At 50.8% G+C, this 17,677-nt stretch overlaps 1 protein-coding gene across 2 annotated transcripts in view; it reads left to right on the top strand.

The window, feature by feature from the left end:
* CRTAC1 (cartilage acidic protein 1) overlaps window positions 1–17,677 on the top strand; it is a 165,622-nt gene that overhangs the window by 96,787 nt on the left and 51,158 nt on the right. For both annotated transcript variants that reach the window (NM_018058.7, NM_001206528.3), the window contains exons 4-5: window positions 10,435–10,571; window positions 16,179–16,335. In NM_018058.7, coding sequence (NP_060528.3) covers window positions 10,435–10,571; window positions 16,179–16,335 — 294 coding nt within the window. The remainder of the gene's footprint in view (window positions 1–10,434; window positions 10,572–16,178; window positions 16,336–17,677) is intronic.

Genomic DNA, 17,677 nt, shown 5'->3' with positions numbered 1-17,677 from the left:
ACACCAAGGTGGAAGGCCACTATCTCAGAATCATGCTAGTTTCATGCTCAGCCCCACAACAACCCTACTCATTTATTAATGCATTCATCCATTGGACAAATATTTACTGAGCACCTACTATTCTAGGGACTGAGGATGCTTCAGTGAACAAAACACAAAAATCCTGCCCTCGTGAAGTTCACACTCTATCCTCAACACGGCCTTGTGTTTCTCCGGGTATCTGAGTCCCCTCTCCCAATCCTCTGCCTGGACTCTAAGCTCCTTGAAGGCAAAGCCTTGTACGTTCATGTTGTGGCCCCCTTTGGCCCCAGCCAGACATTGCATATCCTAAGAGCTAAGTTAAAATTTGATAAATAAATCCCAGGAAGAACAGGTGGGCATGAGCTGTTGGGCCTGAGAGGAGGTTTGCCAACTGAGGGAAGTCAAGAAAGGCAGACACGGTGAAGGCGCCAGAAGGGCCCTGGGCTCATGAGATCGAGGGCATAAGTGTGCACTGGGAGAGGCCGGAGCCGGCCTCCAGGGTGGGGGTGAGGCAACAGTGCCCAGCAGCCTCAGTGCTGTTGACCTTGTGTGGGTTTGAGGGATGTCTGTCGGTTTTAGTTAATTTTTCAGTTGAGTGATCCCATTGGTTAATCGACAGTGGGCGGGGTGTGGAGCAGGGACATTGTGCCATGTCAGCACTTCCTTGGGCCCAGCTGGCATGGCACTTGGCCATTGCCACCCTTCCCACTCTCCAGGGGTCCCAACCAGCCCAGGCATGCCCATGGCATTTGGCTGTGCCCATGGCATGTGCCAGTGTGTTAGAGCGACCTGTGGAAGCATGGTCCCACTCTCCTCCCTTGGCCAGCCTTTGGGATGCTAGCGTTGGAGTTCCTGGAAGAGGGCAAGCACCCTGCATCCCAACAACATCCTGTGGGAGTCATTTTGTACAAACCTGGGGTCTGCCCCTTATTTACTGTGTGACCTTGGACAAGTTACTTGACCTCTCTCAGCCTCAACTCCCTCATCTAAAATCATGCCAACTTCTTAAGCTCAACTCCCACTAGTGGCGCCATAGACTATATCCAAAGCCCTTCCCATCGCTTACAGCACCCCTCCTATGTGACCCGGGTTGCCTTTCTGACCTTCTTTCCTCCATCCTTCCTCTCACTCACTGCCTTCCCACCTGAGGCCTTCGTACTTGCTGTTCCCTCTGCCTGAAATGCTTTTCCCACTGATGTTCTCCAGGCTCACTCCTTCATTCAGGCCCCTCCTCCAGTGAGATCTTTCCTGAGCCCCGTATCTAAAATTGTACCCCCATTACCCCCTGTGCCCTTAACTGGCTTTATTTTCCTTCACAGTGCTGACCACTATCTGAAAACAGGCGATTTTTGTTTGTTGTCCATCTCTCCTACTAGGGTCTTAGTTCCATGGGGGTGCCTTTTTCACTGCCGTACTCCAGATCCAAAGGAGTGACTGTCACTTAGTAAGCATTAAATACGTATTTTTGAATGAACACCTGAGATAACGAATGAAAGCACTTATTACAGTGCCCAGGACTTTATAAGCCCTCCACACAATAGCCGTTCTAGTCCTGTGGCTCTGAAGAAAGCCAGAGCCTCTCAAAGTGTCGTGGGCAGAGGTCCACAGGCCTTCCTCCTGGCCTGTGGGAAAGAGAAACCGTGGGAGCAAAGAGAAAAGGACCGCATTGTAACACTGTGCAGATGGGGGGCCCAGTGAGTCTGGGTCAAGGGCTGAGAATTGGTAAGCGGGTAAGGGAAAGGAGAAGGAGGAAGACTGACCACCATCCCAGGAGGGCCTGGGCCAGGAAACTGGCTTATGGCTTCAGCAACCTAGAAAAATACAAGCCACTGAGTAGCATCTCAGGCAACACTACTCAGTGAAACCAGGTAGGAGAGTGTGCAGGACGCAGGGGGACAAGAGACAGGTGCTGACACCTCCCTCCACATCCAGGAACCTAGGATGTTCTGCAGCTCCTGGTCAAAGCCCATCCCCTGGGGGGGGTCACACACTAGCTCACCCCAGCTGCTTCACTGAATAGCCCTGAGCACTCCCGCCCGCATGAGCTGGCCTGGGGTAACAAACAGGAGCATGGGTAGTGGATGGGTCAGTGTGAACTGTGAGCCCCACCACTACCGTACTTTCATGCATTCAGTTCCACAAAATGATTGAAGAGCTGCTATGTGCAGAGCACTGCTCTAATAATTTATGTGTCTCCCTCCTTTCTACACAAACAGCATGCCCAACTCATGGTTCCACTCTTTGCTCTTTTCATTTAACAATGCATTTTGGATTTGATTTCATGGCAGTACACAGAGAGCTTTCTCATTCATTTTATGGTTGTATAGTACTCCACTGTGCCATTAATTTAATTGGTCCTCTATTGATGAAAGATTACTTGCAGTCTTTTGCCTTTTGCCCTCACAAAACGTGCTACCAAATGAATAAGTTTGTACAACATGCTATTTCCCACAATTGCAGGCATATTTGTGAGTTCATAGAAATAGAATTACTGTCTCAAATGAATATACATGTGTAGTTTTCATAGCCACTGCCAGATTGTCCTTCCTAGGGCCACTGCTCAGGAAGTTCGTGTCGACCAAATATGCAAGCAAGCACTTTCCGACACTCCCAACAAATATTTCATCTATTTTTACAGTATTTGCTAATCTGATGGGGAAAAATTATATCTAAGTGCAGTTTTAATTTTCACTTTTGTTAAAATGAAGGAGACTGAGAATATTTTTATATATTTGAATTTCTTATCTGCTCATAGCCTCTGCCTATTTTTGTATTGATTATTGGTCTTTTCCTTATTGAGTTGTAACAGCTCTTTATAAATTAGGGAATTAGCCCTTTGTCTATAGGACAAGTTTAAAATACTTTTCCCTTGTTTGTCATTTTTTTTTTTTGTCTTTGCTCTTGGTGGATGTTGTAATGTGGAAAATTTTCCTTTTTATGGACTTGGATTTATCACTCTTTTCTTTTTTGGGCTCTGTGTCATACTTAAAGAGGTCTTCAGCAGAGGCTCTTGTAACTTCTTATAGAGGAGAGGGAGCGTCAGTCACCACGCTAGAGAGAAGGGTATTTGGATGGGTGGTACTTCCAGCCTCTTCTGCCCTCACAGCAGAGGAGCTGACTGCTTTTGAGAGAAGCACCCCTGGTCGGGCAGCTCCTCCACCTAGTCCAGTTCCAACTGTACCCAGATATTCTGCACCTCACTACTCCAAGTCTGATGCATGGGCCAGAAGCATGGGAATCAGCGGGGTGCTCTTAAAAATGCAGACTGTTAGGCCCCACACCAGACCTCCAAAACCAGAATCTGTATTTAATCTCCAGGAGCTTCCTGAACCCAGCAAAGTCTGAGATGTATGGCCCTATGGCTCCACCCTCTTTTCCTAGGATTCTCTAGGTCCTAAAATGGATTCTGGGGTCTCCTGATCCCCCAGCCAGATTTCACTTGGATGCAAAGTCCTGACTTGCAGCTCTCCCAGCATGGGCCAAAGCAGCATAATATGGAATATGGGGCCCCAGAGGCCATCCCCATGGTCCTAACAAGGAACAAGCTTCCTTAGGAACTGGGACTGCCTCCTACGAGCAACCTCAGCTCTTTAATAACATGAGAGGGGGATCTGCAACAGACAGACCACCTCACAACAGCTGTGCAACCTTAGGCAAATGACCTAAGCCTCTGAGCCCCTGTTTCTTTCTGTGAAATGAAGACTCTGCCTTCCTGGCACTGCTACAGAGAGCACTGAAGGAGCTGATGTGGGCAAAGTGCCTGGCGGGAGCTGATCGGGTTTCCCTCTTAACCTTGGGATGAGGGAAGGAAGGCTGGGGTCAGCATTTACATCAGGGACCCAGCACAGCCTGGGCTCCTCTTTTAAAATGTCCTTTGCCTGAATGAGTTCTTTCTTCCCCTGGAGCCATCACTGTCTTGCTGGTTTTCCATTGACGAAGTCTTATAAAGCCTTTTATACTTAACATCACAGTTGCCTCCTGAGTTGAGGATCTGCTGTGGTCATGTGCTGTGATTTCCTGGATGATGGTGGTGATGGTGACGGTGTTGTTATTATTTATTTAACTTATCATGTGCCAGGTATTGTTCTCAGCACTTTACATACATTATCTAATTTAACCCTCACAACAACCTGACGAATAGGTGGCCATTCTCATTCCATTTTACAGATCAGGAAAACACAAGTTCATGAGTTGCCCAAGATCCACCTAGAGGGAGGGTTGCTGGCTACTTCCCCAGCCCTGCTGTTTGCCTGATGAATGAGGTTGGAGGCTGAGGCCTCTGCCTTGCCACACAAACCTGCCCACCCTTCTCTCTACCACCAATACCAGACCATGAGTCAGGACATCTCCCAGGTGGGGAAAGCCTCCTGGGGAGGAGGCATTCTGATCCAGTGATCCTTTGGAAGAGTTCTTTATGACACAACCTCATGCTCCCAGTGGCTCTAGGTGCCCTCTTGTTCCCCTTTTCTAGTCTTCTGATGCCTCCATCTCTGTCCCAAATGTGGCTTCTCCCTGGGACTCAAGGGACCCTGTTTATGGCCTGGTCTTTCCCTTCTCCCTAGCTCCAGACTCTATTCTGTAAGCAGTCATGCCTCTTGGCCAGTGACCTCTTGGCCACCCCATGGTCACTTTAAATGCAAACTGTCTGAAGTCAGGCTCTTGCTCACCCCCAGTAAGCTCAGTGTCCCTGCTTGGGTCACTGTTTCCACATTTTGGACAGCTCCCTCACTCTGCCGGCCACACTCAGCCAACCCCTCCTGCACCGGTGCTTCTTCCCCATCCCGATCAAGCCTGAGCTCCTAAAATAGTGGCCACTCGCTGCATTTTCTCCTTTGCTGGCGCATTCACCCTTCACTCCACTGCCAACTTAATCTTCCGGAAACACTGTCTTCCCCTGACTTTCCCCAGATCAGAAGCCACCAATGGCCCCTTTGCCCTCAGTCCTGGAATTACTGGGTCTCCCCTGCCCTGCCATGCTTTGCCTCCTCCACCTGCACAAACCCCCCTCCCTGGGCAAACTCAATGTCCCCTCTGTGCCTTTTTCTCGCCATCCTGCCTAAACTGTAGAGTGCATTGCTGTTGTTACTCTGACCCTTCCAGTCCCAGTTCAGTTGCCTCCTCCCTCATGAAGCCCTCCCTGATCACAGCGACTCTTCCATCCTGATTTCAAGGCATCTCCCAGACATACTGTCTGGTTCTGCCCTGCTGGGCTCTGCCAGTTGTGGGATCTTAGGCAAGTCCCCTTCTTTCTCATGCCCCAGGCGCTTCATACGTAAAGGGGTCATGAAAATAGTACCCACCTCGAGGGGTTTTGGTGAGGGTTAATGAGAATATACGTGAATTGCCTGGTACCTGGCAAGTGCTATAGACGTGGCAGTATCATTCATTTCATGGCTGTCTCTTGGTATCTCCTTTACCTGTCCCTGGTGTTGTGGATGGACTCTAAAAGCCCCTAGTCAGGGACCAAGGCGTACTTCCCCCAGCCTCCAACGGCATCTGGTGTAGCACCTGGCCCCCTGCAGGGCATGGTGGGCACCTGAGCCTCACCTGCAGACCCTTCCCTCTGGCCTCCTGGCAGCAAATGGTGGTTCTACTGGACTGGACTCTGAGACCTTCAAGTCTCCTTTAATGCCAAGATGCCAGAATCAGGGTGGAAATGGGAATCACTAGACTTGCCCCTCGTAAGGGCTGTGGCTCCATGGCCCCCTGCCCTGCCCCAAATGCTCTCCTGTTTCTCCCACGCCTCTACCTTCTCAGTGTCTTTCCCCAGGGGACTCAAGAGAATACCTCTCTCCTGCTCCTAACAGTCTCACCTCTTCCCGAGCAGCTGCCCCCACCCTCTCATGAGGGACCCCAGGGCAGAGTGCAGCTTTTATGCAGCTACAAGGAGCCAGAAGGCAGGACTGCATGCTGACATGGGCCAGGGGCCAGTGCTGGGTGTTTATTGCCTGTGCCATCGACCCGCACAGCTCGCTGTTTATCTGTCTTCCTGACACACCTAATTACCCAGATTGCAGCTGCCAGAGCGTTTGCTCTTCCTAAATCACGGGCTCCCATCTCTCCCGTCGCCCAGGCCTCCGGGCCTCTGCCTGCAGAAGGGCTGCCATTGATTTTGCCGTTCCCATTTATGATCTACAAGGCTCTGCATGGCTGTTGCACATTTTACCTTAATTAGTTTATTCTTCTGGGCATCCCTGGTGAGCTCGGGAGCCAGGAGGCTGAAGAGGGGGAGAGGCCAACAGCACAGGCGCCCTAACACCTCCAGCTGAAAAGCTCTGAGCCTGACCAGACATCAGCAGCTTAGGATGGCACCTTGCTAAGGACAGCACCAGTTACGCAGGGTGCTAAGAGGTGGTCTACAAAAAGGAGTTCCATGGCCAAGGAACATTTGGGAAAGGCTGGGTTAAATAAAATTAAACAGGTAATTCATTGCAGGACTTTCTGAAGTTCTAACAGATCAATGTCCAGGGGGAATCTCCAAGAGGTGGGTGAGTGTGCGTTCTTTCCCAAGCTCACATGATCACAGAGTCCTTTCTCCAGGCACCTCGTAGAGATCAGAGTCCCACAAAGCACTCTTTGGGAAATGTTGCTCGGGATGGACAGGAGGAACTGGAGGTGAGAAGGCAAACAGAGGGGGACAGAGTCACCCTAGACCTAGTTTCTCCTCTAGATAGCTAACGCAGGAACTCTGCAGCTTGAGAAATTTCTCTCACTGAATCCAGAGGTGTCCATCAGAGCTCTGCAGAACCCCAGCTGCCACACCCATTTTCTCCCCGACTCCATGCTGGCCCAGGCTTCAGTGGAGTGTGACCCAGGCATCTCAGGGATGAAGCTAGCTGGAAGTACAGCATCTAAAGGGGCCATGGTTGGGCAGAGATGGGCAAGGGCTGCTTGCTGATGGTGAAGGCTGGAGACCCAGAAGCCTGCAGAGACCATCCTCAGAGGCTCCCAGGCATCTGGAAGCAATAGCAAGCCTGCCACTGCCTCCAGGACAGCCATGATGATGGCGGCCTAAGTCCAAGTCCCTTCTCGAGAGCCCTGAAATCCAGAACCCTCTGAACACTTCAAGTGCATTTTTTAAGTTTTGTGGGAAATTCAATTGATAGCAAAACCTGTCCTGGGCTAATCTGAGCTATTTATAGGCTTTATTTATCCTACTTAGGGTGAATATTCATATAATTCACTGCAGAAATATTAATGTGTTTAATTACTGGGTGCTGCCTCCATCCCTGCTGGGGGTGTTATGTAATAAACCCCCATCCCTGCTGGGGGTGTTATGTGTGCACTGTGTTACCTTTCCAAAGTCTGAAGGAAAAATATGCAAATTCCTGAACACATTTGACTCCCAGGAATTTTGAGGAGGGGCTGTGGACCTGGGGTCTCAAAGCTGCTGCCGAACTCTCTCCAAGTGCATTTCTCGTGTAATTCCCACAACGACGCTGAGAGGGAGGCAGAGCTGTTATCCACAACTTTTAGATGAGGAAACCAAGACCTGGGGCCTCGCAGCTAACAAGCCTCAGATGTGGGATGCGACTCCGGCCGACTGGGTCGGGGCCCTGTGCTTTTCTCAGGGTGACCCGCAACTCAGTTTCCCCCCTGTGCATCCAGGCCACAGCAGCTCAGCGCAGGTCCCTTCTGGGCTCCACAGAAACAGGCCTGTGCTGAAGCCTCCACCTACAACCCCTGCAGGCCTCCTGGGTCTGCCTCCACTCAGCGGAAGGGACTTTTCCTCCTCCCTGGGTCAGGCTTCTCCGGACAGCAGGCAGGGAGAGAGGGTGCCGGTTCCCTGCTGTCGGGTGAGGACCCTTGAGGCCAACTCCAGACCTCACAGATGATGCTTCTGCTCCTGTGGGTCCTGTGGTCTCAAGGGGTCCCAACGTGAGGCCCCCTCAGAGACCAACCCTTTTGTCCTCTCCTGGGTGGAGCCACCTGAGGGGTCAAGGGGTCACTTACACACGCTTCTTACCTATGCACACTCCCACAAGTACTCACGCTCATCCGCTCACTTCCACACACACACTTGACTGTTCTCGCGCACTCTACGCTCACACTCACTCTCAGTCATGCCCACACTCATTCTCACTCACCCTCCCCTCACACTCACTCATCCCCCCACACACTCACTCTCACCCACCCCCCTCTCACACTCTGACTCATGCCCACACTCATTCTCACTCACCCTCCCCTCACACTCACTCTCACTCATCCCCGCTCTCACACTCTCATCCCCACTCTCACACTCACTCTCACTCATCCCCTCTCAACACTCACTCTGACTCCTTCCCACACTCACTCTCACTGATGCCCACATTCTCACTCACTCATGCCCACTCTCTCACACTCACTCGTTCTTGTCCACTCTCATTCTCTGACACACTCTTACTCTCGTGTACTCACCACACACCCTCACTCACACACCCACTCTCATGCTGACACACACTCATTCTCAGCCATTGTCTCACTCTCACACCTACCACTCATTCTCATGCTTACACTTTTTCTCACGCACTTGCTTTCACATACTCATACCCTTTTCTTTTTTTGAGACAGGGTATTGTTCTGTCACCCAGGCTGGAGTGCAGTGGCACAATCACAGCTCACTGCAGCCTCTACCTCCTGGGCTCAGGTGAGCCTCCTGCTTCAGCCTCCTGAGTAGCTGGGACTACAGGCATGTGCCACCACACCTGGCTAATTTTTGAGGGGGAGGGTTTGTAAAGATGGGGTCTTGCTATGTTGCCTGGCTGGTCTAGAACTCCTGGGCTCAAGTGATCTGCCCGCCTTGGCCTCCCACAGTACTGGGATTACTGGCATGAGCCACTGTGCCCAGCCCACTCACACACTCTTACTCTCACTCATGCTGGCTCTTACTCCTGCATACTCTCACTCATTCACACATCCACACACACATTCACTCTCACAATGCTCACTCTCGCTCATGCTCACACTCACATACTTCCCACCCTCACACACACCCACTCACAGAATCACTGGTTTTCACCAAACCCCTGCAGTGCAGGGCTGATGTCTCTAAAGAACCTTGGAAAGTAGTTCATCTATAACATGAGAAAAATCATTCCTGTCGAAAAATAGCTACCACTTTGGTGGGGGGACCATCCCAAACCTTTAATGTGCATCATCTCATTTATTCCTCACAGTAAACTTGACTGTAACTACTGTCATCCCCACTCACAAGTAGGAAAACCGAGGCTCAGAGATGCTGGGCAGCATGCCTCGAGTCTGGAGCCTAGAAGTAGAATCCAAGCAGAACCAACACTGGGGCTCCAGATCATTTCCATCACCCTGAGCTCTTGGCCCCTGGGCCCCTGTGCCATGCTGTCTCTCCTCAGTCTAAGCCTGCTGCCTCTTCCCTGGCCCAGACAGTCAAGTTCAGGGTTCTGTCCCCAAGTCCACTCTTCCTCAACCTCACCTTCCCCAATTCCTTCAGCTGCTCCTCTCCCTGTGTTTCCTGTCCAGCCCAGGGGGTAGAACGAGGACCCCCCTAAACTACGAACATTCGGGGTCTTGCATTAACAAGAAATTAACTAAGGATGATGGCGGAGGAGAGACCTCTGCCTTTCAAGTGGTCACTTGAATGGGCTTGAGACCTCAGCAACCAGCAGTTATTCCCTCTTCTCCAGAACAAGGCTTCTTAGTCACGAACGAGCTCCAGAAGGCCACAGACCTGAAATGATGTATGGCATGTTGTGTGGTGTGCAGACCTGCAACTCCCTGAGCTGAAGGTCCTTCACCTCCCTCCAATTCTCAAAGGGGCCAGTAATCCAAAAGAGGTGAAAACCACTGCCTTCTGGGGCTCCCCAGTCCTGGGACCAGGGGCCTCCCAGGGCTGCCCAAACTCATCACACCCCAGGCAGAACAACCCCTCATTTCTCACCCCATCAGAGCTCAACTTCCAGCCCCTTCCTCAGGGTGGACTGAGACCTACCCATGAACCAGAACCATTTCTTCTGAGACCCAAATCAGGTAGGTCCTGCGATCCAGTAGAGAATGTAGGGACAGCGCCTGGAGAAAGAGCCATCCTGGGTTGAGTTTGGATGTTGCCGTATTGCAGTCCCAGGAGCTCCTTGATGCTGTTGCAGGAGCACGGGGCAGGGCATGAAATCCAGCTGCTGAGGGTCATCTTGGGCACACTGCAGCAGTGGCACTTCCTCCCTAGTTCCTGAGGCCTGGGCCAGCCATCTTCATGAGGCTCAGAGTCTCTTCCCTCAACTGGAAACATGTGAGTGCTCCCCAAACACAGAGGAGTCTCACCTGCTTGAGGTCTTCCTTGCCGCAGATGACCCAACCTCCTCTGGTCCCAACCACCTTGTGAAAGGTGCCATGAGACATACCCAGAGATCAGAACCAAGACCCTGATCCACTGTCCACCAGCCCTCCCTTTCCTCCTCTCTCCAGGGGTGGCCACGTACACCGACAAGTTGTTCAAGTTCCGCAATAACCGGTGGGAAGACATCCTGAGCGATGAGGTCAACGTGGCCCGTGGTGTGGCCAGCCTCTTTGCCGGACGCTCTGTGGCCTGTGTGGACAGAAAGGTGAGTGCAGGGGCACATGGGGTCCTGGGGAGAAGCCACATGAGAGCCAGGAGAGGAGCCACTGTGTAGACGTCCCCTGACAGAGTGGCGTCTCCCGCGGTGTCTTGGATAGATTGGGTGCTAAATACCAACAACTAAGACTTGCAGAATGCATTCCTATGTACCTTTCACATCCTGTCTCCCATGCAGCCCTCCCAGAAACCAGTGAGGAAGCCAGCCAAGGGATCATTGTGTCCTCGGGACACTTGTGGGGATGGAAGCCTAGCTTGGAGCAGTGACTTGCATGGGAGCCCAAAGCAGATGAGTGGTGTGGCTAGGACATGAACCCACCTCTTCTAGCTCTAAATCCTGCCTGTATTCATTCACTCAACTAACATTTATTAAGTGCCTCCTGTGTGCCAGGCACTGAGCCGTGGGGCCCTTCATAAATATTTACGGAATAAATGAAGGCACAATGGAGGGGTTCCTAGATGGGTGAAGGGAGGGTTGCCTCAATATACGAGTACTTTAGTTCATCAATAGCTCCTCCAACGTTTTCATGCTCTGCAAGTGCACCCTACACAGAGGTGCCCCACCCAAACTGGATGGGGAGGAAAGACGGAGTGGGAAGGGGCATGAGCCACTGCAGCCATCTGCCCGGTGAGGGGGCAGCCGCCCACCCAGGCTTAGGTCCCAGCAGGCCTCGCCAGAGCCAGCAGCTTGCTGCAAAGGTGATTTATCCCTCCTGTCACCTGCTCCCCTGCCACCCACCTCCTTGGCTTTGTAAACAGTCATCACTAAATCAGGGGCCCAGCTGCTGCCCGGCTGCCACAGGAGTGTCTATGGCCCCCATTCTGGGGGCAGGGGCAAGAGGTTTGGCTCACTTTGGGATTGAGATGGCACCGAGGGGATTGGGGATTCAGTGTGAATCTTTACAGCAGGGGCCTCCAGGCCTTGGGAGAAGGCAGGTGCCAGGTATAAATATTTATTTCTTAACAAGCTGGCGCTGGGAAGAGAAGCCAAGCTGGGCTGTGAAGCCACATTTAGCCTGACCTGAATCTGTGCCACCTGGACTCCTGCCTGGTGGGAGTAGATGGGAAGGCAGCTCTGTGAACAGCCCCAGAGTGTGGGGTGGAGCTGGGGGGTGCCAGACCTGGTCACGGTTAGGGGCCTCTTCCCAGCCTCCTCCCGGTTTCCCATCTCACCCGTTCAGGACCAAGGCTTTTGACACTCAGCTAACGTGGGCAACTTCTCAGAGAACTGGGGGGAGAGGCATGCAGGTTAATCACAAAGAGATGCACTCTGTCCTAACAAGGTCATCTGCACACCCACGCATTTAACCACAGGACAAAGGCACTATGTGAAATGAAAAAAAAAAAAAAAGATGACCTGGCACTGCAGCACAGGAGGCAGGCGTCCAGAAGCTTGCTCACACCCTGCTTAGCCCCTGACTTCAGTCTCCCAGGCCTCAGAGAACTAGAAAGAAGCCCTATGGTCAGTCTGCCAGCAGAGGAGGGTTGCTTTCTGAGTCCAGCCACCACCTTGGCCATCCCTGGGGCCTGAGGACTGCCAGGGGAGGAATGGAGAGAGGCCAAGGGCAGCCTGGAAGTTGACAGAGAGGAATGCAGCATGGTGCAGGAAAACACGAGAGCAAGGACAACAGTAACAGCCAACACCTCTTACACTAGGGACATGCCGAGCCTTATGCTGCATGCTTTAGCTGCCTCGTCCTACTGAATCCTCATAAGACACCAATGAGGTAGATGCTGTCACTATCCGATTTGACAGATATGGAAACTCAGGTTTTGAGAAATTAGGCAACTTGACCTTGATCACACATGAGGCAACAGGCAAAGCCAGGAATTGAACCTTGCCTGCCTGAAAATGAAGATGCCTTTTTACCTTCCGCCTCCCTGCCCCTGGGTGAAATGATAGCAGACACAAGTTTCTAACTTTATTATAGCACTCACCCTAGTCATCCTTCCATAGCCCCATAGCCCCTACCTGGGGCAGGGCCTTTTAATCTAGCTACCTGGTCAGTGGATCTCAGTGTAGCCTCTGGGCCAGCAGCAGCAGCATTGCTAGAAATGCACATTCTCAGGCCCCGCCCCACTCCACCCTCCAGACAGACTGAATCAGAAACTCCAGGGGTGGGGCCAGCAATCTGAGGTTCAGTTAGCCCTGCAGGTGACTCCAATGCATGCTGAAGTATGAGACCTTTTGCTCCATAAATGCCTCAGCCCCGCCCCCACTCTGCCATGTGCTGTTCTCTCTCTCTCCCCTTCCACCCCTCACTCATTCTCTGCTCCAAACCCGGAACATCCACTTGTCCTTTCTCACCAGTTGCCTCATCACTCACCCACCTTTCTGGATCCAGCTCAAAGCTGATCTCTTACAAGAACGTCCTCTGATCAATAATGATTATGCCTCATTGTTTATATAGCATTTTTATCTTTTCAAAGACTTTTCACATACATTGTCTCATTTCATCTTCTCAAGAACCCTGCAAGGAAGCAGGGGGAGTATGATCTCCATTTAACATCTGAGGAGATGCAGCCTGGAGGCAGCCAGGGATTTGCCCGAGGACGAGGAGCAGTTAGGGGCAGGCCCTAGACTAGGACCCGGGCTAATGGCCCTGGACCAGTGGTTCTCAAAAGTGTGGTTCCCAGACCAGCAGTGTCAGCATCATCTGGGAACTCGTTAGAAATGCAGATTCTCATGGCTCACGCCAGACCTGTTGGTCAGAAACTCAGGGGATGGGGCCAGATGTTTAAAAAAAAAATCTGTGTTTTAACAAGCCCCCCAGGTGATTCTGATATAGGTTAAAGTGTGGGAACCACTGCATTGGCCCCAAAGCTGCAGAAACATCTTCCTTCCCTTGGAATCATCTCACCCTCCCAGAATTACCATGGTCAAGTTCACATATGAATTTCTGCAGTCTTCTACAACCGTAACACATCTGCGTTTGTCAGTTTATACCCCCGAAAAATCAAAGTAAGGAACTAGGTATAACTGAATTTTGTAAATATCCTAATTTCTAGCAGAGTGAATTTCAGTCCATTGAACTTATTGCTCATTTGTTGATGAGATTGCTGCCAGCTGGTAGGGTCGGGAAGGGTTTGTGATGGCGCACTTTCCTCTTTGGCCCCTTCATTCACTTTTCATCCAGTCATTCTGCACAGCCTAGGATGGCTGAGAACTTCTCAAAGTTCTCCCCTAATCAAGAAGCCATGTTAGGCCAGGTGTGGTGGCTCAAACCCTTAACCAGCACTTTGGGCATCCAAATGGGGAGGATAGATTGAGACACCAGGAGTTCAAGACCAGCCTCAGCAATATAGGGAGACTCTGTCTCTACAAACAAACAAACAAAAAAAAAAATTAGCTGGGTGTGGTGGGGCACACCTGTAGTCCCAGCTACTTGGGAGGCTGGAGTGGGAGGATCACTTGAACCCAGTCGAAGCTGCAGTGAGCCTGAGTGACAGAGGGAGACCCTGTCTTAAAAAAAAAAAAAAAGGCTGTACTGTAAAGCAGTGCATCTCAAACTCCAATTTTGCACAGGAATCACATGGCGGTTTTGCCACAATGCAGATTCTGATTCAGCAGGTCTTAGGGGGTGGTTGCTGAGGGTCTATATTTCAAACATGATCCCAGAGGTCACCAATGCCACTGGTGTAGGGACCACTTTGAGTAGCAAGATTTGTAAAGCACAGATTTCCGGGTAGCAGCATAAAGACTCAGATAACCAAAAGAGAAGGAACAGAGCAATCTGTAGGGAACAAATTTACCACCTTCTCCAGCTTCATCCCTTGACACTCTCTGCCTTGCATTTTATATTCCAGCAACATTGAACTAACTGCTGTAGTTTCTCTACATACATCCTCCTCTTTCTCATCTCTACTTGGAAGGTTCTTTTCCCTCCAATTCACCTGACTGAGACTCCTTTAAGAAAAGTTTTTCAGAACTTCCCATAGTTAGGTGCCCTTCCTCTGGGTGAGGAGCTCCTCTTCTGTGTGCCCAGGAAATCCTGTACGTGTTCTCTGCCATATGCTTGTATCATTGTTGATACATCTGTGTCACCCAGGAGACTCTAACAGGAAACTCTAAGCTCCCTCCTTGGCCTCACCCACCAGTCAGACAGACTCATGTGGCTCTTAATCAGCTTCCTCAAAGAAAATAATCCCTTCAAAGATTGGCCAAGCACGGTGGCTCACACCTGTAATTCCAGCACTTTGGGAGGCTGAGGCGGGGGGGGGTGGTGGATCACTTGAGGTCAGAAGTTCGAGACCAGCCTGACCAATATGGTGAAACCCTGTCTCTACTAAAAAATACAAAAATTAGCCAGGAGTGGTGGTGCGTGCCTGTAATCCCAGCTACTTGGGAGGCTGAAGCAGGGCAATCGCTTGAACCTGGGAGGTGGAGGCTGCAGTGAGCCGAGATCACACCACTGTACTGCAGCCAGGGCAACAGAGTGAGACCCAAAAAAAAAAAACAAAAAACACCAAAAAACCCACAAAGATATAAAGTCACTGACCAGTTAGGTGGAACAAGAATTGTGCTCATGGTGCCAATGGATGAGACATTGAAGCAAGGAAAGAGGACCACCAGTCTTGTTGCTGTGAGCTCAACAGTTTCTCTTAGGACCTTTTAGGTTTATGGCTTGTCTTTCAAACTAGACTACAAGCAACCTACGGTCAGGGACTTTGTCTTAAGTACATTTTTAACACAGCACTTGGCACATAGTTAGAGCTTAAGAAATATTTACTGTCCAATTAATTGGAGGGAAGTGATGAAAAGGATGAGAGAAAAGCCAGAAAACTGATTTAGAAAGTGTGTGGATCTCTTGGGAAGAAGTCATCCATTGAAGAAATAGCACCATTATAATAACAGGCAGAAGAGAAGAGTCTTTCATCAGCAGTGTTTTGGACTAGAGAAGAGAATGACTCTTGCACGGAGGAGCTGGTGCCCAGGGCTGCTCCTGGATGCAAAGGGAAAAGCAAATCTTTGAGACAGTGTTATAAAGACAGAAGTGATATTATCTTTCTTCCTGGTAATACAGGGGAAATAAGGGAAGGGACGAGGGAAGTAGGACCCCTGCAAATCTGTGCCTCTCGTGCTACCAAAACAGAGGAATGAAGAAGCGCGGGGTGGGAACAGGGGGAGGGAGATGGCTCAGGAATTTGCTTGTCATCTTGGCTGGAGTGAGCTTGAATGGGAGAGAGAGACTGAGAATAATGGGAATTGGTAGATCAATCAATCAGCAAATATTTATTGAGCAGCTACCCTGGCTGGCAGCTGGAGAGAGCTCAGCTGGAGGGAGGCACATTAGAAAATTGTCTATAAAAAGGTGGTTGTGGGGGAGAGGGAGGGGTGTGTTCTTCTGGAACAGGATGGAAGGAAAAGCAGCCTGCTTTGTTGTACAACTCCTGGGAGTGTCATTCACATGGTAGCCTTTGTGAAAAGCCCCTCTGGAAATGCGCCATGCACAGCCTGCAAGGCCATTTGCAACAGACCTGGGGAGAAGAACCCAACCCTGTGAAAGAGCTATGGTCCTACCTGGGGTGGGGAGGGGGCGGTTTCTGGGATGAGCCAAGGTGGCCCTGCTCACCTCTCCCTTCCCTTCTTCCTCAGGGCTCTGGACGCTACTCTATCTACATTGCCAATTACGCCTACGGTAATGTGGGCCCTGATGCCCTCATTGAAATGGACCCTGAGGCCAGTGACCTCTCCCGGGGCATTCTGGCGCTCAGAGATGTGGCTGCTGAGGCTGGGGTCAGCAAATATACAGGTATGCAGAGTGACATGGGAGGTAGTATGCTGGAGGGGCTGGGGCTGGGGGCCAGGGCCCTGCAAGGCTGAGTCTAATTCATCAGAGACCACAAGGAAAGGGTGGCCTTATGTCCCTGGTGAGGGGAGATGAAGGCTCCATTCCATCCTGCCACCCACAGAAGGCTTCTCCCACACTGCCTCTCCAAGCATTGGTGAGATATCTGGCAGGTACGAGTTTTGGGGTACCCAAGAGGGGACATCTGGCTTGCTGGAAAGTGGGATGTGAGAACACCACATCATTTTCTCCCTGGAACCTCTTGCCCCACTGCCTCTGGTAACCTCAATGATGGGTGAGCAGGTTCTGTAGGAGAAAACTGACAAATCACAAAAGCCGAGATTTAAAGCATTCTTTATTGCCAAATCGCAGATGAAATTATTTACTTACACATAAGCAACCAGGAATTGAGTGCTAAATCCCTAGGCTTCAGCTGGGTCCCGTCTCGGATAACTGAGCTCAAAGAATTGAGTTCTTGTTCCAAAACCTCTCCAGCACTTTTTTTTGAAGGCACGCTCTCCCCTCATCTTTCTGGTTGGGGGACCTATTGTCAGACTCTCTGACAGGGAGATCTTTCTAGGGAAGGCTGTTTTTCTAATTCCAGCACGGCTGCTGACTAAACTCTGATAATCTGCCAATAGACTGCTGATGGCAGAGCAATCCAGTTCCTGTTTTGGGTGCCAAAAATCAGGAAGCCAGAGCTGTACACAACAACTTGTCATGTGAACTTAAGCCACATTCATACCAGACCTGCACTTGGGACAGAGAGATCCTCTTGTTGGTCGGCCTTCCCAACATACCCATCCCAACGTGTGCAGCAGAGGCTTCCAAAGTGGCAGCCTCCCTCAGTCTGAATCCTGGGGCTGGAAGGATGGTTGAGGGGTCCTTTGGGGTACCACCCTGCCTCCAGACACCTGGGTGGTGGCATCATCTCAAAGTCCTGCCCAGAAAGGGTTGTCACTGCCTCTCCTGAGTTTACAATGCCTTTCCCTAGCCACTTTTCACCCTGGTGAAAGGGGGAGATTAATGTTGACCTGTCTTACAAAGTTTGTGGGAACAAATGACTAGACAATAAAATGGTTAGCACAGCTCAAGCCCCATCTAAGTGCCTGAGAGCTCCGCGCGTGAAGGTACCATGGAAAGGCTGTATCAGTAATAAACTATGTTTCCCCCGGAAAAGAAATAAACATGCAGGCGCTTCAGCCTAGATTTGTACAGTCAATTTTTTCTGCATAGTTGCCAGTTCTGTGCACTGGGCTGGCTTGGCAATTAAGTGCCTTGATCTTGCAAGGGAAGGGGGGTGCAC

This window comes from Homo sapiens, chromosome 10, assembly GCF_000001405.40.
Source record: "Homo sapiens chromosome 10, GRCh38.p14 Primary Assembly".
Taxonomy (NCBI): domain Eukaryota; kingdom Metazoa; phylum Chordata; class Mammalia; order Primates; family Hominidae; genus Homo; species Homo sapiens.
The sequence above is the reverse complement of the archived record's forward strand: the minus strand, read 5'-3'. Positions and strand labels throughout refer to the sequence as shown.